The sequence below is a fragment of the Homo sapiens genome, chromosome 7 (assembly GCF_000001405.40).
Source record: "Homo sapiens chromosome 7, GRCh38.p14 Primary Assembly".
In the NCBI taxonomy this organism is placed as follows: Eukaryota; Metazoa; Chordata; class Mammalia; order Primates; family Hominidae; genus Homo; species Homo sapiens.
This window is the reverse complement of record NC_000007.14, coordinates 112603179-112626282: the sequence shown is the minus strand read 5'-3', so window position 1 is coordinate 112626282 and position 23104 is coordinate 112603179. Positions and strand designations below refer to the sequence as shown.

Below are 23104 nucleotides of genomic sequence, written 5' to 3'. Positions count from 1 at the left end.
TTCATGTTCATCATCTTCATTAGACTGTGTGCTCTTTGAGCAGAGTGGATTGATTTATTTTCTGTCTACTTCTTTGGCTTCTATTTTGTTCAATTCTTTGCAAAGGTGAATCCAAGAGAATAATGCTGCACAAAAGATTTAAGGAATGTTAATTAAATAACCCATCTATTTCTGATCCTGTACCAGTGGTTTTCCTGAGTTACAGACAAAAGAACTCTACCTTATATCCACAAGAAAATATTTCTTAGGATAATAACCATTGATAAAACTCAATAATGGAAATCATTATACATTTTGCACTTTTCATTCCAACTCAAGTCTGTTTTAAGGATCATCTTTTTACTACCCATAATAAGTTTCTTTGGAAAGAAAGTTAAAAATTACCAATTGAGCTAAAAGAATGTTGGGGTCAGATACCTGGTGTATTTCTACTTGTTTTAGAATGTCTAGCAGTTTAGTATGGTATTCAACAACCTAAAGGAAGACATTTAACAAATTACCTGGCTTGGTCATATTAATTTCTAGAATTTGATACTCACCCTTATAATTACCATGGCAAAGCCTTATTTTAAGAGCTATGGGAGGTCACTGAGTATCTTTAGTATAGGAATGACATTGTTTCCTCATAGGAACTTGGAAGCAGACCAGATAGAAAAACCTAAGTTCAGTTTTGGGCTACTGAATTTGAAATGTCTTTGAGACATCCAAGTAGAAGTGTCAATTTAGTTTCTTGGCTGTGCTGTGAGAGGAGAAGTAAATTTGCAAATCTCTATAGACAGAAAATAACTGAAGTTATGGGCAAGATGAAGGGGCTTTTGGAAAAAGAGGAGAATGAAAAGAGTGAGGAACTCCAACATATATGGTCATATACAAGAGAATTTCAACTAAAAGGGAAACAATACAATAAATATACCTTAATCTCTTCCATATTTCTAATTACTTCTTGTATAATGCTAGCAGTGGAATTATGAGGTTTGTAACATATGTAATATATATAGATAGATATAGCTCATATGGCTTATCTATATCACTGCATCTCTTCTGCCTAGTTATTGAAAAGAATTGAGTTTTTTATAGTAAAGGTGACATCTTTACTAACAAAATTGTACCATTTGAAGAACTGATCTGATGGCTACCACTAGAGCCTTTCAAAGTTCTTTGTCCCTGGACTTGCACTACCATTGTAGCCATGATGCTACATATGAGACCAGGTGACTAAAAAAGGTTATTTTTTACTAATTAAATCTATTTACATGGTGAAAAAAAATTAAGAGCATTTCAAGTTTCCTGATTCATACTGATGTGATTTTAGAAAGCTTATACCAATTTTCCTCCCTATCACCAGCACTTAATATGATCTTTGTCAATTTGATTGGTAAAACATTATCCCATTATCTCAGGCAACTATATGAAATAATTTATATTATGGAAGCATAAATAGTATTGCTACGTAACTGAGACCAAGAGACTCCTGAATACAGATTTGTGTTTAAACTGAGACCATGCAGAAAATACAGTAAATATCCAGTAAACTCGCTGAATTAAGTTGAAATCAAAGTATGGCTATTTGTTTTCAGAAAACAAAGATTTTCAAAAAGCAAAGATTCCAATATCTGTTTCCTGGGATGTGGTGGCGTGGCCCCAGACTGCTTAGCTAATTAGTTCTGGTAGAGCCTCTCAGAAATCTTTCAGCTGGCAGGGACTTCCAGGATGCAGCTCAGGGAGATGGAAACTCGATAATGGCGATTTTTTTGTTATTTTTTGTTTGTTTGTTTGTTTGTTTGTTTTTTAAGCTGAGAATTTCAAATCCATTTTATTAATGTTCTTTAACATTGCTTGGAAAATAAGCAAGCATTGCCTAACATATATTTTGGTCAACCAATTAGTATAAATTCACAGGTAAATGTATTGATATGCACTCTATTTTCTGGTTTGTTAACCTCAAGAATAAAGCATCACACTACTGAATGTATCATGATTAAGTTCAAAGCCTTTTGGCATCGCTGTCTTATCTTAATATGACTAGATCCAGATTCATTCCAATTGATATCTTTGTAATACTAATGCACATACTTTTCTTAAAAGAATTGCAGTCTCTCATAAAATATCTATATTTTTAACTGAGTCCATTGGAGATATTATAAACTGAAAGCGTATTTGTAAATAGGGACTGTGTTTTTAAGTTGGTTCCTGTTTGTATATTATCTTCAATTCCTGTTATTTCCTGCTCCCTACTGTCAGAGGCATTTGAACCAGAGCAACTCCATCTCTAATAGGGGCTGAGTAAAATAAAGCTGAGACCTACTGGGCTGTATTCCCAGGAGGTTAGGTATTCTTAGTTACAGGATGAAACAGGAGGTCAGCAGGACTAGTATCACAAGATACATGTCACAAAGACCCTGCTGGTAAAACAGGATGCAGTAAAGAAGCCAGTCAAATCCCACCAAAATCAAGACAGTGACCTCTGGTCGTCCTCACTGCTTATTATACACTAATTATATGGCATTAGCTAAAAGACACTCCCACCAGCGCCATGACAGTTTACAAATGCCATGGCGACATTCCAAAGTTATCCTATCTGATCTAAAAAGCAGAGAGACCCTCAGTTCTGGAAATAGCCCATCCCTTTACCTGAAAATTCATGAATAATACACCCTTTATTTAGATATAATAAAGAAATAACCATAAAAATAGCCAACCAGCAGCCCTCAGTGCTGCTATGGCTATGAAGTAACCATTATTTTATTTCTTTACTCTCTTAATAAAATTGCTTTCATTTTATGGATTCGTCCCAAATTCTTTCTTGAGTGAGATCCAAGAAGTGGAAAGGGGTCAGGATCGGGACCCCTTTCCATTAACACTACAACTTCACTTAAAAGGCAACACATCTACTTCTATAGAAATTAAAGAACTCCCAATTTTCGCTCCATCAAGCTTGTTGGTATTGCCTGCTATGAGCCTGCCCTACCTAGCATTTGTCTTGATAGGTTGCCTCAAGTTTGTATCTGGTTGCTTTCTTACGTGCTTGGATTTGAATCCCAGCATCACCCTTTACAACCTGCATGATCCCAAGAAGGTTATTCAACCTCTCAGATGCCACAGTTTCTTCATCAGTACACAGGTGATACTAATAGCACCTATCTCACATAGGCAATTAAGCAAGCACTGCAAGTGTTATAATAATCGTTTTGCCTGGTTGTTTCTGTTATTGCTGTTGTTAATGGTTTCAATTGTTTGCTTGGGTTCACATATCCATAAACACATGAATTAAAATTCAGTCCCCCCTCCACACACACACAAATAGATAAGCCATAGAATCATCTCTCTTCCCCTCTTCTTCTCACCCTCCGCTTCACCCTCCTTCCTCCCCTCTTCCCTCTCCCCATCTCTCTAGTGGAAGCAAGGAGAATGAATTTGAGAGCAAGCCTGAGACTGGGAGACCAATTGGAAAACTAGACCAACCAGCCCTAGGTATTTGTGAGGGGAGGGATTACTGAGTACAGAAACAGATAATGATGTATTTATAGCATGAGAAGCATCAATAGTACAGTCTGCGTTTTTCATGCACCTATTAAAAAGCACACGACGTTGGGACCGGGGACTGGGGCTACAATTTCCAGATCTAAAAGTCAGGGAGGGCTTTGTGGGAACTGGGATGGCCACCTGGGAGCTGGGTCTCCTCCACGCGGGTTACCTTAGTCCAGGAGTGAGTGCGCTCACTGACCAGGGCCACGAGCAGCGCCGCCGAGGCCGCGCCCTGCAGCTGGCTGTGCCTGGACCGCTTCGTCCACGGCCTCTAACCAGGCGACCTGCTAGAAAAGGACATTTGACTTCCTGGGTTTAGGTCCCAAGACGAGGAGCGGGAAGCTGCCTACCTTGGGGTGGAGAGGACTGGAGTAGGCGGTAGGAGCGAGTCATTGTCATATCCCCCTCCTAGGCATTTTCATCATCATCACAAAGGGACCCAGCTCACCTGGGAAGGGGCGGGACCCAGGGAAGGTACAATGCCCTTCTAGCTGGCCACCTCTACCCCAAAAGCAGGGCCTGCTGCTGCCACCCTGGATTCTTAAACAAGCAAACAAAACCTCTTCCTCTATGCTCATCAGTACGAATATTTCCGTTGATAAGCCTTACTGCTGCTCCTCCATCTTCTTTTTTTTTTTTTTGATACGGAGTGTCGCTCTGTCGCCCAGGCTGGAGTGCAGTGGCGTGATCTCGGCTCACTGCAAGCTCCGCCTCCCGGGTCACGCCATTCTCTTGCCTCAGCCTCCAGAGTAGCTGGGACTACAGGCGCCCGCCACCGCGCCCTGCTAATTTTTTGTATTTTTAGTAGAGACGGGGTTTCACCGTGGTCTCGATCTCCTGACCTCGTGATCCGCCCGCCTCGGCCTCCCAAACTGCTGGGATTACAGGCGTGAGCCACCGCGCCCGGCCTCCTCCATCTTCTTAATAATAATAAAAGACAAACCATTGTTTTTGACTTGTGTTTTCCCGTGCATTCTCTTGTGTTCTCCTTGCCGGTGTTCCCGGCTGTGGGCCTTCAGGTCGAGGGGTCAGTTGAAGCCTTTCTTCCCTTCATTGCTCCTGCCCGCAGCGCTTCCAGACCCCTCCTTCAGTGCCGGAGCCCCGCCCTTATATTGTGAACTTCTTCCAATGTCTCATCAGTTTCCAGCCAGAATCCTGTCTGATCCTCCTATATTTGCCTTAAATTCTTTAGTTATGTAGTCTGAAATTCACCTACTAGCAATAAGCTTCCTATTTAAAATGCAGGCTGGGCGCGGTGGCTCACGCCTGTAATCCCAGCACTTTGGGAGTCCAAGGCGGGTGAATCACCTGAGGCCAGGAGTTCCAGACCAGCCTGGCCAAGATGGTGAGACCCAAGATGGTGTGGCCAACATGGGCGCCAAGAGTGAAACTCCATCTCAAAAAAAAAAAAGAAAGAAAGAAAAAGAAAAGAAAAAATAATAAAATACAGATACTACTGGGTGGGTAGGCACTCTTTTCTATCCAAATTAGAATTGTTCCATCATCCCGTATTTTCCTAAAAATTTAACACAGCGGTTTCAAAGGGAAGCTAGCATAGTGGAATCAGGGAACTGTGGAGGAAAGGTACTGGGCTGCAGGTATCATAGGCGTAGTAGAAGACAAGAACAATGGAAAGGAGTCCCAGGCTCCAAGAATCACTTTCCTACCTTTTCAGGTCTGGTCTGGGTAGAGCTGGAGAAAGTATTCACTTTAGTAATGCAAGCGCTAAAATGTTACAATCAAAGATTTTAACAAAAAATAAACATTTAAAAGCTAATTCTTTACCAAAATCTCCTGCAAAACACTGAGGGAAAACTCCATTTGTAATCTACAGTAAAACCTGATAACCTCTTTTCACATCTGCCCTTATCAATGTATCTCACACTGTAATTGTCATCCCAGATCCTTCCCTCCTTTACTTCACAATTCCCAAAACTTTCCCCTACAACCCAAACAGGACAGCTATTCTTTTGGTTTCTCAGGTATGTATTCTCTCACCTGCTGGAACTAAAGAAATGTTGGTTCTTGTTGTAATTCATCCTAAGCGTGAAAAGTTCCTTGATAAACTTTTGTCCAAACTGTCAATAAATAAATGTGTCACTAGAGAATAAAAGGAGAGAGAAAAGAAAGCAGACTTTATTTTTTAATAAGACAAGGAAATTGATCATCCTGTCTTCCTAATTTGCTGTTTCTTCATGGTTAGTGAGTCGCTTTGCATTTTTTCCAAGACGCAAGACACATAGTTCAATCTCCTTCCCATGAGAGCAGTGTCTAGTTGTATTCTGAGAATTACACAGTGTTTGATTTTTACAGTCCATGATACTAATGACTTCATAAGCATCTTCAGTTCCTAAAAATAAACAGATAGATGAACAAAAACAAGGATATACTTACTTGCAATAGACTTCAAATATAAAGCTTTGTGGGAAAATATTGATGAGAATGGCCCATGGTAGCAAAATAGTTTTCAATCAGATTAAAAAATATATTTCAGAAGGGACTGACAGGGCCTGCAGGTACACCTCACTTGGTGCAGAAAAACAGTTGACCTCCCTTTGGACTGTATAAGCCTAGCATTATTGGACAATCCCGAGAGAGCCCAATGCTAGGCTTTCTAGAAGATCAGTACTGAACATCATACATGCTGGATGTTCTGCCATTGCAGGCAGGTGAGGGCCGCTGGGGTATAAATCTTAGGCACAGTTTCTCAGGAGGCAATATATACCACTCCATTCCTATCTGAAATCCACGTCAAGGACTTCTACTACCCTCCACTTTCAGTTACCTCACCCAGGGCCATTTTAGAAAACAACATCATCACTCTTGCAAATTACTTTTTTCTAAGCTGATTTTCCTCTGCCTGAATCTTCTTACTAATTATTTCGCTTTTAAAAAACCCATGCATTGTATGTAATTTGTAAGCTTCCTTATATGTTCAGGAACAAGAAAAAACCAAAAGGTAGAGGGGAGAAGAGTAAGGAAGGTGAGAAGAGAGAGGAGAAAAAAGGAAGAAAAGAGAGTGGATGTTTTCTGTGTTGCCCTTGTCCTCCACTAATACAGACACTTATTACCAAGATGTCCAGAACAGGCCCAAGAGAAAGAGAAAGGAGACAGGGAGAATTGCCCTTGAGGTAGTAAATTATTCACATAACTTCAGGGCTGTCCTTTTTTTGGAAGGATCCCACAATGTTTATCATCAGCCACAAGCTTCTTCCTAGTCTCATATCTCTACTGCATTATCTCCAGTTAGAAGTCTTGCTGTCACTTCAAGGTAACAATTTCTAAAATCATTTTCACTGGCTTCATCTCAATCAGCTCCTCTTCCCTGCATTCACATTTCTATTAACAGCACCACCACTTTCTAAATCCCTCACAAACTCCTTCTGTGCCATCATTCCATCACTGGCTCCTCCTCTGTCTTCTCTCCTTTATACCATCAGTGTTTTTCATCTTCCTTACATTATCTCTTTCCACCATTCCTTTCTTTTTTTTTTTTTTTTTTTTTTGAGACGAAGTCTTGCTCTGTCGCCCAGGCTAGAGTGCAGTGGCACAATCTCAGGTCACTGCAACCTCTGCCTCCCAAGTTCAAGTGATTCTCCTGCCTCAGCCTCCTGAGTAGTGGAATTACAGGCATGCACCACCACGACTGAGGCTAGTTTTTGTATTTTCAGTAGTGACGGGGTTTCACCGTGTTGGTCAGGCTGGTCTTGAACTCCTGACCTTGTGATCTGCCCACCTTGGCCTCCCAAATTGTTGGGATTACAGGTGTGAGCCACCGTGCCTGGCCCACCATTCCTTTCTTTTGATTCTTAACCCTATCAGGCCCTTATCATTTTATGGTTTTAAAGGTAAACTCCAATAATTTCACAGTTTTTCTCCAGGCTCATCCTGCTTGAGGATATTCTGAACTGAAAGAAGAACTTGCTGAAGAAGATAAACTAAAAAAAAAAAAAGTGAAATAGTAATATTGATAATATTCGTTAACATTTCTTAAGCACTTTCTATTTGCTAAGCACTTCCTAAAATCCCTTGACATGAATTAGCACATTTAAGGCTCACAACAAACTCACTATCTGCACCTTACTTTGATTAGGCAGAGAAAGATGAGAGTAAATATTCCATTTTCGTGGTATACTGGGAGTTAGAGGACCTGTACTCAAGCTCTCAAAATCATTATTTATAAAATTAGCGGACAGAGGCGATGATCTCTAAATTCCCTTTCTTGGAAATAACCTAAGTCTATCCCAGCGTTGAGATGAGAAATTTGGCATGAAATAGAAAGGGAATCATGGAATTCTTCAAATTCGATTATATTTTTTAGACTAGAAGGAGAAACTAATTCATCCATTAAAAAAATTGATCCAACAAATGTTCATTGAGCAGCTACTAATTAACACTGGCAATAGATGGTTGTTTATGCCATTTCATGCTGGCTTCTCATTCACTCAAATGCTTCCCTTACTATTACTAAAGCCTTACCTGAGGTAGACAGCTGGCCAAGGAAGAAAAGAGCAAAGAAAAGGTAATGAATCTTCATGGCAAGGTAGCTCTGAAACAACAAAGTGTCTTAAAAAGATAAACCAATATAAATGGAGATGATTTTAGAATCAGAGCTCCTGTATTTAGAAACTTTCATGGGTGAGCAGGACTTTACATGTCTTATTTTCTCTCAGATTTCTGGGCAGCCAACTCCCCACAAGCCCTGTACACCTCCTATTTGTTTAGATCCCATTATGACATGTGCAGCCCTTATTACATCTTCACAACACTCCTGGCTTATCCATTTCCCTCCACAGTGTCTCAGTGACCCACCATCAGGGCTTAACCTCTGGACCTCTTATCCCTTAAAAGATGTCTAACTTGATGGTCCTGTTGGAGGTGATACCTCTTCACCTGACACCATTTTCACACCCTCCACATAGGACCAGTGCTTGCCGTTATTCTTTGTACTCCTTTCCTGGACTGCTCGTCGTGTTCACCAAGATCAATGCTGCCCTTCTTAATACTGACATAAGGTCAGGAGCTGACTTGAATCTTCACAGCCCTCAACTCAACATCCTCTCCTCCTGTTCTAAGTCTGGCAAACATTGTTGAAAATCATCCTGTGACTATGTTAATATTTCACTTTTATCTACTGTCAACTGGTCCTGTCCCATGTAGCTGCTCTCCTACTAAGTGTGATTTCCATGACGAAAGGGACTGTATCTTCTCTGCTCCTGTGTCTAGCACAATGTCTTAACATGGTACATTTTCATCAGACTTTCTGGAACTGTTGAACTGCCTTTCTCCACACTTTTGGAGGGTTTTGTTATCACTCTTTTTGATTCCTCTCACCCTACGGTGGCTGTTTATATCAAGACTAACCCGCCTCTCTCCGTTATTCGCACGATTACTTAAAACCTTCTCCTTCTTACTTTCCTGAAACTATTGAGCCATCACTTTTATATTCCTTCATCTCACCTTATATTTACATTAAAATATCTCTCTTTACCTTCATTCATTCCTATCTTTTCTTTCAGAAGAGATGCCACTTCTGCCTTCAAAAAAACTGTCATCTTCCCAGGCTCTCTCTCTGATCCTTTTCTACCATTTTCCTCCATCCCAAACTTCAGAATCTCATTTTTCTCTCCAAGTTCATAATTTAATCATTAATTCTCACTGTGGTTGGAGAAAAAGAAAAACAAAAGCCAATAAACAAAATGGAAAATAACCCTTGACCCTGCTTCCCCTCTGGGTTCAGTCCAATTTCATGCCCATCTTACACTGAAAAGCAATCAGAGGGAATGGTTTCTGTTGCATTTCATTGACCACTACCTATTCTCTCCAAAACTTCTGCCATCTAGATTCTGTTCCCTCTTTCTATCAAACTTACCCCCAGGATTCACCAGTGAATAAACAAACCAAGGAGTTCATAGTTTTTATGCCCATTGCTCAAGATGTCATCATTACTTTTGATACTAGTAAGCCTGCACCTTTAGAACTCCAGCTTCTACCCTGATTTTCTCCTACCCTTTGTTTCAGTTTCCTTTTCAAACTCCTCCTCTTCCTGGAGAGGTTCCCCCAGACTTCTTTAGAGCTGTGCTCTTCTGTTTTTACCTCTCCCTAGACATCTCCCATGACTGCTAACGCTATCACCTTTGGTGTAAACTCCAAAATCTTGCTTGTGCATCTCCAGGCCTGATCACTTTTCCCAGGCTTCTGTCCCTTGGTTCCATCTGTTTATATCCCATAATCTTTTCCAGATCCACAGGATTGAATTTACACTCAATGGAACCTCAACAGGCAGACTCCAATACTTGTAGATTCATATCTATAACTGATATCTCTTAGATCACAATTGCTTGTGAACAGGAATGTAAACATTCCTGCAGACGATGGAGAAGTTAGGTTTAATGTTGGACATAGATGGCAAAGGCAACACTTAATACAACATTAGAGTCTCTTACACAGGAAATTAATAATGCAGCCTTTAAATTATGATTATGTTTTATCATAGATTCTCCTAAAAAGAATTTAAGACAGCTTATTTAATAGACACACACGAGGTTAAAATGATATTATAAAATTGGGGTGGAAAAAATAAGATAAAATCACAGGTAAGCTATAAATGAACCACAAATTTTGGTTGCATTTGTTGCAGTAAAAACAGGAATGGACACTTAATAGTTACAGAAGTCACAAAGACATAGCATAAAAACATTTCCATTACTAAGGACAAATACAACTCTTTTTTTTTTTTTTCTGGCATGGAGATTTGAGAGAAATTTCTCCCAGGAGTTCTCTTTGAAAAGTCAGTTAGTGATGTGGGACAATATGTTTGCTTATGTTTTATGCAGCTATTTATTATTGCATTCATCCATGTAAACAGATGGCATAATGTCAAAAAAGCATTTCAATAAAAGGCTATGTGATGTTAAATAATATGGTCCATGTTTGCAACTCACTGAGTATTTGGCTCATTCGAGATTGAAATGTGGAAAACATTTAGCCTTTCATAAGGAGTAAGTAAGAAAGCTAAGGGATGAAAAGGCTGGCCAAAGCTGGGGAGTCAAACCCGAACTAAGAAGCCAGAAAGCAAGGAATCAGAAATGAGAACACTCCGTAAGACTGAGGACAAGGCATGGCCATCAGTTAGCCCTCAGGATATCAGTTCAGACAGCCTATTATCACAACAGAAATAAAACTCTACGACCTGGCATGGTGGCTCACACCTGTAATCCCAGCACTTTGGGAGGCTGAAGCGCATGGATCACCTGAGGTCAGGAGTTTGAGACCAGCCTGACCAACATGGAGAAACGCTGTCTCTACTAAAAATACAAAAATTAGCCTGTCGTGGTGGCACATGCCTGTAATCCGAGCTACTCAGGAGACTGAGGCAGGAGAATCTCTTGAACCCGGGAGGCGGACGTTGCAGTGAGCCAAGATCGCGCCATTGCACTCCAGCCTGAGCAACAAGAGTGAGACTCCGTCCCAAAAAACAAAACAAAACAAAACAAAAAAACTCTACTGGCAAAGATGTCACAAAGTACTCCTACCTCTCCACCCCCACTTTCTCCAAGTAGACTCTACGGTAGCCACAGGACACCAGTAACTAATTGTCCTTATTAATTAGAGAACCTTCCTATCCTGTTCAAAATGCCTTTGCACTTCCTGCTAAGGAAGGAGCCAATTCCAGGCACCATTCTGCAGCCTTGGAAGCAGGTAGTGGACTGTGGTGAGAAGTCTATTGGAAGTTCAGTCAGAAGGACTAATGGTGATTTGCCAGGCACGGTAGCTCACACCTATAATCTCAGCACCGTGGGAGGCAAAGGTGGGTGGATCTCTTCAGCCCGGGAGGTCGAGACCAGCCTGGGAACACAGTGAAACCCCGTTTCTACAAAATAAAAATTAAAAATTAGCCGGGGATTATGGTACATGCCTGTGGTCCCAGCTACTCAAGAGGCTAAGGAGGGAGGATCGCTTAAGCCCAGGAAGCAGAGGTTGCAGTGAGCCGAGAATGCACCACTGCACTCCAGGCTGGGTGACAAAGCTGACCCTGTCTCAAAATATCCCTAAAAAAAACAACAAAAAAAGGCAGGGTTAATGGTGATTATATCATTAGTGGGGAGGGAGGAATGAGGGCATGGGTAAGTACTGCCATTAGGATGGGGTTAGCAAGTAGATTTGTGTCTACTTTTTCAGAAAAAGTACTCCATAAAGTACTCCATACAGCCTGGAAGCAAACTATACAGGGCAGCATGGCAGCTCCATGATCACCAGGCTCCTTTGTCTTGTTGCTCCACTGCACACAATGCATGGATACCACCTCATGGTCCTCGATGGCTACTCAAGCTCCAACTATCTGCTTGCATTCCAGTCATCAGGAAGCAAGATGTGTGAGGAAGGACACACTCCTTTTTAAGGAAGCTTCCTGAGTTGCATATGACACTTTAACTTATATAATTTTGACATGGAGACATTGCAAAACGCTTTTATGAAAGATTCAATGCCATGATGCAGACAAACCATCTAGCTTAGGACAACCTTGTAGAATGGGGTCTTCTGTGAAACACTATGTAAAGTGCCAATTTCAAGGCCTTATTATAGTTTCAAATGCCTTAAATCAGAAGAAGAGACATCCCCCATTTTAAAATTGACATTTCTGTCCTAAGTAAAAATTCATCAAAAAATTTTTATACTAAAAAGGAAATAAAAGTATGCTGCATTAAAATTTAGAACTGGGAACATCAAGCTATTAGATATTTTAGTTCTGTACTGTATTTAATTAAGATGGAGTACAACAGATGAGAGAGAGGAAAAAAAAGAAATCTAAGAAAAGAGGTGGATGAACATTCAGTATTCATCCTACTCTAAAGAACAGAGTTAAACAGATTCACCAGTATTACTTTAAGTTATCCCTACACACAGAAAATTCAACTATTTTTGAAATGATTTTTAGTGTCCTAATTTTAAACTAAAAAAGGAACAGCCTTTACAAAATGTATGGCCCCTAAATGAAAAGCAAATTTCAGTAATATTAATCACATTATCTAAGTGGTTTCCACTTGGGTACCATAAGAAAATTCTGAATAAACTTAATAAAGAACTTTGCACAAAAAAATGGCAAAGATGACAGTTGATTTCCAAACATGATGGCAACTGAAGTTCTGCCTATATTCCGTAGCAGCATCTGAAGTCTCATATCACCTTCCTTCACTCACTTTTCTGCTTGTTTTAGTATTATCCCAAATAATGCATTTTTCCCCTAGACTCATCAATATGATGATAAATCTTAAACACATAATGCGTTAAGCAAAAACAACATCAATTTGCAAAAGGATATGAAGAGTATGATCCAATTACACAAAGTTTTAAGACCTTATATAAAGTCTTTAATGCTTGTGGGCATACGTTAGTATGCTAAATATAAAAACATGATGAATACCTAATTTTGAATAGTAGTTATCTCTAGTGAAGGATACACCAGAGACTTAATACCAAAACATCTGATTTCTTAAATAAATGAAGCAAATTTGGCAAATTATTAAGACTCATCCAAATTGTGTGGGGAATACAGATATATCCTTCTCTATACTTCTGTTTGTGTGATATAATTTATAATTTTAAGTAAATAAATTAAAGTGAATAAATTATTCTAATCAAGTGACTAGAGAAAAAATAACAAAATAATTTCAGAGAAAGTAGAAAAAGGAATGTATAACATAGTGTTGGAAGTTCTGGCCAGGGAAATCAGGCAAGAGAAAGAAATAAAGGGTATTCAATTAGGAAAAGAGGAAGTCAAATTGTCCCTGTTTGCAGATGACATGATTGTCTATTTAGAAAACCCCATCATCTCAGCCCAAAATCTCCTTAAGCTGATAAGCAACTTCAGCAAAGTCTCAGCATACAAAATCAATGTGCAAAAATCACAAGCATTCCTATACACCAATAACAGACAAACAGAGAGCCAAATAATGAGTGAACTCCCATTCACAATTACTACAAAGAGAATAAAATACCTAGGAATCCAGCTTACAAGGAATGTGAAGGACCTCTTCAAGGAGAACTACAAACCACTGCTCAACAAAATATAAGAGGACACAAACAAATAGAAGAATATTCCATGCTCATGGATAGGAAGAATCAATATCGTCAAAATGGCCATACTGCCCGAGGTAATTTATAGATTCAATGCTGTCCCCATCAAGCTACCAATGACTTTCTTCACAGAATTGGAAAAAAAACTACTTTAAAGTTCATATGGAACCAAAAAGAGCCCGCATTGCCAAGACAATCCTAAGCCAAAAGAACAAAGCTGGAGGCATCATGCTACCTGACTTCAAACTATACTACAAGGCTACAGTAACCAAAACAGCATGGTGCTGGTACCAAAACAGAGATATAGACCAATGGAACAGAATAGAGCCCTTGGAAATAATACCACACATCTACAACCACCTGATCTTTGACCAACCTGACAAAACAAGAAATGGTGAAAGGATTCCCCATTTAATAAATGGTGCTGGGAAAAGTGGCTAGCCATATGTAGAAAGCTGAAACTGAATCCCTTCCTTATACAAAAATTAATTCGAGATGGATTAAAGATTTAAATGTTAGACCTAAAACCATAAAAACCCTAGAAGAAAACCTAGGCAATACCATTCAGGACATAGGCATGGGCAAGGACTTCATGACTAAAACACCAAAAGCAATGGCAACAAAAGCCAAAATTGACAAATGGGATCTAATTAAACTAAAGAGCTTCTGCACAGCAAAAGAAACTACCATCAGAGTGAACAGGCAACCTACAGAATGGGAGAAAATTTTTACAATCTACCCATTTGACAAAGGGCTAATATCCAGAATCTACAAAGAACTTTAACAAGTTTACAAGAAAAAAATCAAACAACCCCATTAAAAAGTGGGCAAAGGATATGAACAGACACTTCTCAAAAGAAGACATTTATGCAGCCAACAGACACATGAAAAAAGGCTCATCATCACTGGCCATCAGAGAAATGCAAATCAAAACCACAATGAGATATCATCTCACATCAGTTAGAATGGCCATCATTAAAAGTCAGGAAAAACAGGTGCTGGAGACGATGTGGAGAAATAGGAAACTTTCACACTGTTGCTGTAAAATCACATGGGTGACTAGGTGCCTTGTCAATGAGTAGTTATATTTTGAGAAGAATATTTTCTGAGCAGTAGTAGGTCTCAGCAATGGGCTTAAAATATTTAGTAAACCATGCTGTAAATAGATGTGCTGTCATCCATCCAGGCTTTATTGTTCCATTTATAGAGCACAGGCAGAGTAGATTTAGCATGGATTTTCAAAATGATAGACGAACATTGGCTTCAACTTAAAGTCACCAGCTGCATTAGCACCTAGTAAGAGAGGTTTGAAGCTTTGAAGCCAGGCCTTGACTTCGCTCTAGCTAAGAAAGTCCTAGAAGGCATTTTCTTCTTCCAATAAGAGGTCTTTTTGTCTACATTAAAAATCAGTTGTTTGGTGTAGCCACCTTCATGAATGATTTTAACTAGATCTTCTGGGTAGCTTGCTGCAGCTTTTACATCAGCACTTGCTGTTTCACCTTGCAGGTTATGTTATGGGAATGGTTTCTTCTTTCCTTAAGCCTCATAACCAACCTCTGCTGGCTTCAAACTTTTCTGCAGCTTCCTCACCTTTCTCAGACTTCATTGAATTAAAGACAGTTAGGGTCTTGCTCTGGATTAGGCTTTGACTTAGAGAATGTTGGAGCTGCTTTGATTTTTTATCCAGACCACTCAAACTTTCTCCAAATCAGCAATAAGGCTGTTACACTGTCTTATCATTTTTGAGCTCACTAGAGTAGCAGTTTTACTTTTTTTAAGAACTTTTCCTTTGCTTTCCCAACTTGGCTGTTTGGCACAAGAGGCCTAGCTTTTGGCTTATCTCAGCTTTTGACATGCCTTCCTCACTAAGTCGATTGCTAGCTTTTGATTTAAAGTGAGTGATATGCAACTTTTCCTTTTACTTGAGTAATCAGAGGTCATTGTAGGATTATTAATTGGCCTAATTTCAATATTGTTGTAACTCAGGGAACAGGGAGGCCTGAGGAGACAGCAAGAGATTGGGGAATAGCTGGTTGGTACAGCAGTCAGAACACACACAACAGTTACTGAATATGTTCACCATCTTATGTGGGCATGGTTCATGGCACCCCTAAACAATGACAACAGTAACATCAAAGATCACTGATCACAGATTATCATAATAGATATAATAATAATGTTTGAAATATTGCAAAAAATACAAAAATGTGACACAGAGACTTTAAGTGAGCACACGCTGTTGGAAAAATGGCACAAATAGATGTGCTTTATACTCAGGGTTGCCACAAACTTTCAATTTGTCTTTAAAAAAGCATTATCCACAAAGCACAATAAAGAAATTTAAAAAGGTATATCTTTATTATTTATATAATTTAAGAGATAAAAAGAATTTTCTTTTTTTGAGACGGAGTTTCATTCTTGTTGCCCAGGCTAGAGTGCAATGGTGCAATCTCCACACACTGCAAACTCCGCCTCCTGGGTTCAAGAGATTCTCCTGCCTCAGCCTCCTGAGTAGCTGGGATTACAGGCATGCGCCACCACGCCCAGCTAATTTTTGTATTTTTAGTAGAGATGGGGTTTCTCCATGTTGGTCAGGCTGGTCTGCAACTCCCGACCTCAGGTTATCCACCCACCTTAGCCTCTCAAGTATTGGGATTACAGGCATGAGCCACCACGCCTGGCCAAGAATTTTTCACGTAGGAAGTAACATCACTTTTCATCAAGATTTTCCATATCAGCCTTTTTATTTAAATATCTCACAAGACTTCAAGGTCTATAAAAAATATTGCTCCAGGCACTGCTATTTAAGTTTAAAATAATCTGCAAATGAAGTACTCGTGCACTATATCTGTTTTTTAGAATGAGGAAATCACGCATTTTATGTTTGTTCCGTTTTAGCATTAACAAAAGAAAATAATTTTGCTATTACTTCCAGTTGAGTTGAACTTGAAACTTGGGCTGCTTTAATGTTCTTAAACTATAATTCATAAATGCTAATAAATGATTTGTAAGCAGTGGTTCTATAAAAAAGTATATCACCAAAATAACTTGGGAAATAAATTAGTGGATGTGTCTCATCAACAGACTGCTTACATACCATAATGACCATTTTTTCAAGAGTCATGATCTCTTTTTTCACTGCTTGAGTTGACATGCTGGGTGATAGTTACTAAATTGGAGTCAGAAGATCTCAGTGTGAACTCATGCTCTACTTAATCAGTCTTTGTGCTTTAGTTTCCTCCATAGAACTAGTTGTTCTGAGAACTGAAATTACTTTGTCAAATGTAAAGCACATACAGATGCAACCTAACAATATTAACTGGTATATGAGTACATTTCAACAGCTCAGCATTGACCACTCTGGCATATTTTCCCTGATTTTCATGGGGATTAACACAGGAATCACGTTTTATTCCAAGCAAACTTCTTGGTGACTTCAAAAAGTACTTACTCTTTTTGGGGCCTTCGTCTTCTAAGTAGAAAATTAAGGATATTTTACATTTGTCCCTTAAGACACATTCATAAATGTATGAATTAAATAAATTCATAAATTGAATGCAGCAATCAGTTCATAGGACAATCTTCCCCAAATCTGTTGCCAGGATATGCAACTCAGATCAAAATTCCGCATCAAAACTGCAACTCTTTCAATCTGAGTTACTTCCTCCATCAAAGTCTTGAGCCCCTCAAAGTCATCAAGTTAAAAACATATTTTAGCTACACACCAAACAAGTAAAGATTGGCTTTAATTGCTTGTGACTTATTTTCCCAAAGGTCAGTGAAGGCCAACTCCTCAGGTATAATCCAGAATATATCGTTATCCTTTCTGGGAGAATTTTCCTTAATGAGTCATTTCTAAGCATTGTCTCTTCCCAACACATTAGAGGAAACCTGCTTCTTACATATTTTAAGAAAAGACTTTGAAATGGTCCAGCAAAGGAAGAAAGCCTTACGATGTCTAGGAAGGAACTAGAAGTCTTGAAAAACATCTAATGGTTGGAATTACGCTGGGAGAGTTCCAATATTGGAACATGCAGGAGAGGATTCAGGGCACACTTGCTTCTTTTGTTGCCCACTGTCTCAGTCCATTAGGGCTGCTATAACAAAACATCATAAACTAGGTGGCTAATAAACAACAGGAATTTATGTTTCACTATTCTGGAGGCTGGGAATCCAAGATCAAAGCACTGATTGATGTGGTGTCGGGTGAAGGCCCATTTCCTGTTTAATAGATGGTCCTTCTCACTGTGTCTTCACAGGGTGGAAGAGGTGAGGGAGCTCTCCAGGGTCTTGTTCATAAGACTATTAATCCCATCATGAGGGCTGCACTCTCATGACCTGATCACCTCTCAAAGTTCCCACCTCCAAATAGCATCACATTGGTGATTAGGCTTTTAACATCTGAATTTTAGGGAGATATAAACATTCAGACCATGGCCCCCATGTAGAGCCGTTTTCCCATCAGGGGCCCCCATAAACTAATAAAGTCTTCTAGACACCCCTGAGAGCAGCTCAACTCAGCTAGTCATTGCTTCTCTACAAATCCCAGTAACATCAGTCTTCTCTCCCAGAACTTAACATATTGCTTCCATGTCACTTTCACCTCTTCACTCCAGGTACTTGGACTCATATCTGAATTGCTCATGAACAAAACCAAACCTTTAAAGGCTCAATATTTTCCAACAATGCATTAAGCTGGGAAACAAAACAGGGCAATATTAGGTTCCATTTCCATCTTACTGTCCACAGAGCTCCCCTTGATCATAACTCAAACAATGAGAGGAAAGGTAGGAAAAAAATGGCCCCATGTATATCAACTGCATGGACGAAGAGTGCTTAGTGGGGATTTGAGTATAGGGTCCCAATATATAATTTATAGGCCCTCTGGGGGTAGGAATAAAGAGAGTTAGGGGGAGGTTAGATAAGGCATTCTGGAGATAGTTTCACAAAGTTGTGTTTTGAAAGTAGACAGTTTTCTAGGTGTATAAGAGGAAGAATGGCATTCCAGGCAAATCAAACAGCACAGGGACAGAGGATATTCTTCCTCTTGTGACATAGAGTGTTCTGGCAACAATAGTAGTGTTGAGGGTATAATCACAATGTAAGGTCAATGGGGTTGGCAGGAGATAAGACAGGTCGGATGGCAAGGGCCAGATCATGAAAGGCCCCATAGGCTAAACTAGGCAGCTTGGATGTGGCTCCATAAGCAGTGCTCTGCCTCTGATATGTGTGGCACCACAGGGACACTCTAGCTCCATAAATGGAGCTGGAGGGGAGGGAAAAGGCCACAGTCAAATGACGACTTTGGAAATAGAGACTTTACATTTTTCCTTCTATAATCAGCTACATTATTAGATGTGTGATGAAAAATATCAATTCCTGATCAATTGTATTGCTGTATTTAGCAAATGTCTAGATAAAATACCTATCTTTAAAAACTGGCACTAGGAATGTGAGCTCTTGCATCCATGGGAGTCATTGAAGTTATTAAGGACAACCACTTAAACAGCTTTACTTCAAATCCAGGCTCTATGCTTATTCCTTTACCGGCTGTGGTATTATGAACAAGTTACTCCATTTTCTAACCTCTAAAGTGGAGGTAATAATATTATCTAACTCATAAGTTTATTGAGAGGATTAAATGAGACGGAGTATTAGCTTCCTAAGCTGCTGTAAGAAAGTACCACAAACTGGCTGGCCTAAAACAACAAAAACTCATTGTCTCAAAGTACTAGATGCTAGAAGTCTAAAATTAAGATGTTGGTAGGGCTATGCCCCTTCTAAAACCTGTAGGAGAGAATCCTTCCTGCCTCTTCTAGCCTTTGGCCTTTGTTGGCAATTTTTGATGTTCTTTGGCTTGTAAATGCATCTCTCCAATCTCTGCCTTTGTCATCACAGGACCATCATCTCCCTGTGTGTGTCTCTCTTTTTCATATAAAGACATCAGTCATATTGGGTTATACTACTCCAGTGTGACCTAATTAATTATGTCTGCAACTACCGTGTCTGCAAATGAATTTACATTTGAAAGGTACTGGTGCTTAGGACTTCAGTACATCTTTTTGAGGAGAAACAATTTAATCCATAAGAAATGGTATCTGAAAAGCCCTTGGCACTCAATAAACATTTACTATTATCATTAAGGAAGAAGAGAGCAACAATTATGATCCACATTCACACTGTAATATCTTGCACTTGGCAGGCACTTTGTAAAAATCGTTGATATGGTTTTGTATGAATTTATATTTTTATTTTAGGGGTTTAAATAAGCTCAGTGTGGCTTTCCATCAAATTAGAAACAGTATCCTTAAGTACAAGGAAGTATCACCGTCTACTTCTCTTGTGTGATCCAGAGTTGACAAAGATATCATATAATAAGAGTTTCAATGCCAAGCAAATGAATTAACACACCTTATAACCACAGCTCTATTGTTTTTGAAGTATGCACAATGTTATTAAATTTATTAAGCTGGTTATTAAGCTTATTTATTTTTGGAAGCAAAATGTCTGAGAATCTCACCTTCCTGAGGTGAGGATGCTTCAACTTTTTCAATAGCAGAATCCCTTACTAATATATAGAATTTAGTAAGATTTGTATGGTCCTGACAGGCTTCTCTATCAGCTATACCCTTTCCCACATTGTTATACATCTGGCATTGTTCATTTTCTATTCCCTAAAATGGAAAGGAGAAAAATGTCTTTCTTTGTTCATTTTGATAGTGATTTTGATAGTGATTTAATCATTTTGATAGTGATTTTAAAATACAAAAGATGGATGGGGACATACAAAAATTGAATTAAATCATAAGATTTATCAAGATGAAAATTTTCAATTCAGAATTAAATGGTCTTAGATGCTCTGAAATTTGTTGTAAGTAGAAAATCAGTTCAATTATCAGATTGGAAAGTATATATAAAAACACTTTTTATCAAATTCTTGTTATATTTTCTTAAATGTACTTTTAAAAGTTACTTCCAGGATAAACTGCAATTTTGTATCTCAAATGTCTTTCAAAATCAACCTATGGTAAAAGACAGGCTGCAAAAATTTAGGAACAGTACATTGACAAAGAAAATGTTAAATAAGTAGATTTAACCATTATATGCTAGCTTGAAGTAAATATATAATGGAAAGGAGCAAATGAGAAAGGATGGAAAAGAATGTAAAAAAGAAGAAAGTATTTGTATCTTCTGTTTGGGAAAAAAATATAGACATGGGAATTCAAGTAGAGAATGATGACCAAGCAGCTGTGGAAAAACATTTAGCTAACAAGAGAACTTCCACTGAATGGGAAGTCTAGGAATGTCGGAGGAGGAAGCTGGAGAAAGCAGCTGGATTATGAGGAAACTGTCATCAAGAGGCAGAAATCCTTCATCAAGGAATTTATACTCACTGTTAGTAGCTGTAGGTAAAATTCTAACGTCAGTTAGGAGAACCAAAGCTTAGAATAAAAATGCACTCTGTTAAAAGGTACAGGGCAGTTTACCTAAATGTACTCAGATATTTATCTTTTTTAAAACTTTGATCTCCAGTGGATTACAGACGTCATTCTGTCTGTTAGTGTCCTCTGGTAAGCCACAGAAGCTCTCTAGTTTCCACATATTGCCATTGATCATTTGTTTCTCTTTGGATGGTTCAGGGTGCACAAATCTAAAATCTAAAATTATACTATTCTGAATGTAGCAATTTGTTATTTTAATGGAGATAGATATAAATCTAAATATAGATATGTGATTCTGTGAATACATATACACTGTAGTAATATTAAAAATATTTTACAACCAGCTTAGGATCAACTAATTAGGACAGAGACTGGCTACAAATACCCAGTATGGTCATACTGGTGCATGCCTTCTGAGTATCAGCTCTGCAGGGAAAAAAAAAGCGGCAGGTAGACAGACAGACAGAAAGACAGACAGATTTGAGTGTAAATGTGGCTACTCATACTTCCAGTAAACCAAATCTATATTCACACCATAAAAATGCAATCCATGTGTTACTTACTGTTCACCTGGTTGTAATTTTCCTTAATTGTAGACCTAGTGAATAGGAGGAAATATATAACTTCTGGGAAGGAAAGGAGGAAGGAAAGAAGGGGCAACTGCATTTATAAATCATAATTCCTAGCTCTTAGCATAGGTCATGATTAGACTATAGATAGAACTTGGAATTGCTTGATAAGTACATACTTAGTCTCATCCTCTGACTTATATGGGAATTAAAGACTCTCTTGGGGAAAAAAATTTTGAATAACAAGTTATGTTTACATGTACACAGTTCAAAGACTCAGCTGATGGACCAGGATAAGAAGCAGGGGAACTGAGAGAATCTAGGTATGTCCTTAAGAAAGAATTCCCCCCTGGCTGGGCATGGTGGCTGCTCACACCTGTAATCCTAGCACTTTGGGAGGTAGAGGCAGGCAGATCACTTGAGGTCAGGAGTTTGAAACCAGCCTGCCCAAGATGGTGAAACCCTGTTACTACTAAAAATACAGAAAAATTAGCTAGGCGTGATGGTAGGCGCCTGTAATCTCTGCTACTCAGGAGGCTGAGGCAGGAGAATCCCTTGAACCCAGAAAATGGAGGTTGCAGTAAGCGGAGATCATGCCACTGCACTCCAGCCTGGGCAACAGAGAGAGATGGGAAGGGTAGGGGAGGGAAGGGAAGGGAAGGGAAGGGAAGGGGAAGGGAGGGGAGGGGAGGGGAGGGGAGGGGAGGGGAGGGGAGGGGAGGGGAGGGGAGGGGAGGGGAAGGGAATCCCTCTTGGAGAAGGAAGAGTCTGGCATTGGGCCATAATTATCTGGAAGGGAAAAGCAGTTTTGGATGTACCCTGCAGCACCATGCAACTGTCAGGCAGAGTCCCGGGAGGAAAAAAAAAAAGTAGCCTCTGGACTCTTCAGAGAGGGGCTTCTGAGCTGCATCCAGCATTACCTCCTGTGGGACTTGGCAATTATTTAAACTTTCTAGGTTTCAGTGTCTTTATCTGTAAAATGGGGATGGTAATGTTAACAGTCCTTGTATCATGGGGTGGTTGTGACAACGCATGTGGGAATTGCATATAAAGCCATTACAGAACTTAACACATACTAACTGTTGTTACCTGGAAGCTGAGGTGCCCTCTGAAAAGAAAAGGTGAGTTGTTTACTGGTGAACTAAAAAAAAATCTAACAACGATAAAAATAATAATAATAGCAATAATAATAACAACAGCCTCACTATATGATGTATCATTTAGGGATACGGCTAAGGGTGCCCCATCCCCAATCTACCCAGGCCTGTATTTTTGTTTCCCTCCTAAGAGAGTAATTTGGGCTTAGTTTTAGGGAATTCTGGGCTTCCCTCACTCTGGGGGAGAATGTGAAGCCTTTCATTTGAAAGCAGAGGATCCCAGAGCTGGACTGTCTTGGGGAAAAGAACTCCTCGCATTAAAAAAGAGGAGAACAACCTATCTGAGGGAAACAAAGAACATTGGAATACACCGATTCCCCAAATCCCACACATC

General features: G+C 39.3%; 2 long non-coding RNA genes across 3 annotated transcripts in view; both read right to left on the bottom strand.

Moving 5' to 3' along the window:
• The window catches only part of LOC101928012 (uncharacterized), an 85692-nt gene extending 81790 nt beyond the window's left edge, over nt 1-3902 (bottom strand). The window contains exon 1 of the long non-coding RNA NR_110158.1: nt 3664-3902. This is a non-coding gene — a long non-coding RNA (uncharacterized LOC101928012). The remainder of the gene's footprint in view (nt 1-3663) is intronic.
• Nucleotides 3903-5633: 1731 nt separating this feature from the next.
• Nucleotides 5634-8218, bottom strand: LINC03076 (long intergenic non-protein coding RNA 3076). 2 transcript variants are annotated; one of them, NR_110159.1, is made up of 3 exons: nt 8005-8218; nt 7246-7463; nt 5634-5875 (listed from the first exon to the last, which is right to left on the bottom strand). It is a non-coding gene; the product is annotated as a long intergenic non-protein coding RNA 3076 (long non-coding RNA). The 2 variants fall into 2 exon arrangements; NR_110160.1 differs by lacking the exon at nt 7246-7463.
• Between the last annotated feature and the right edge of the window lie 14886 nt (nt 8219-23104).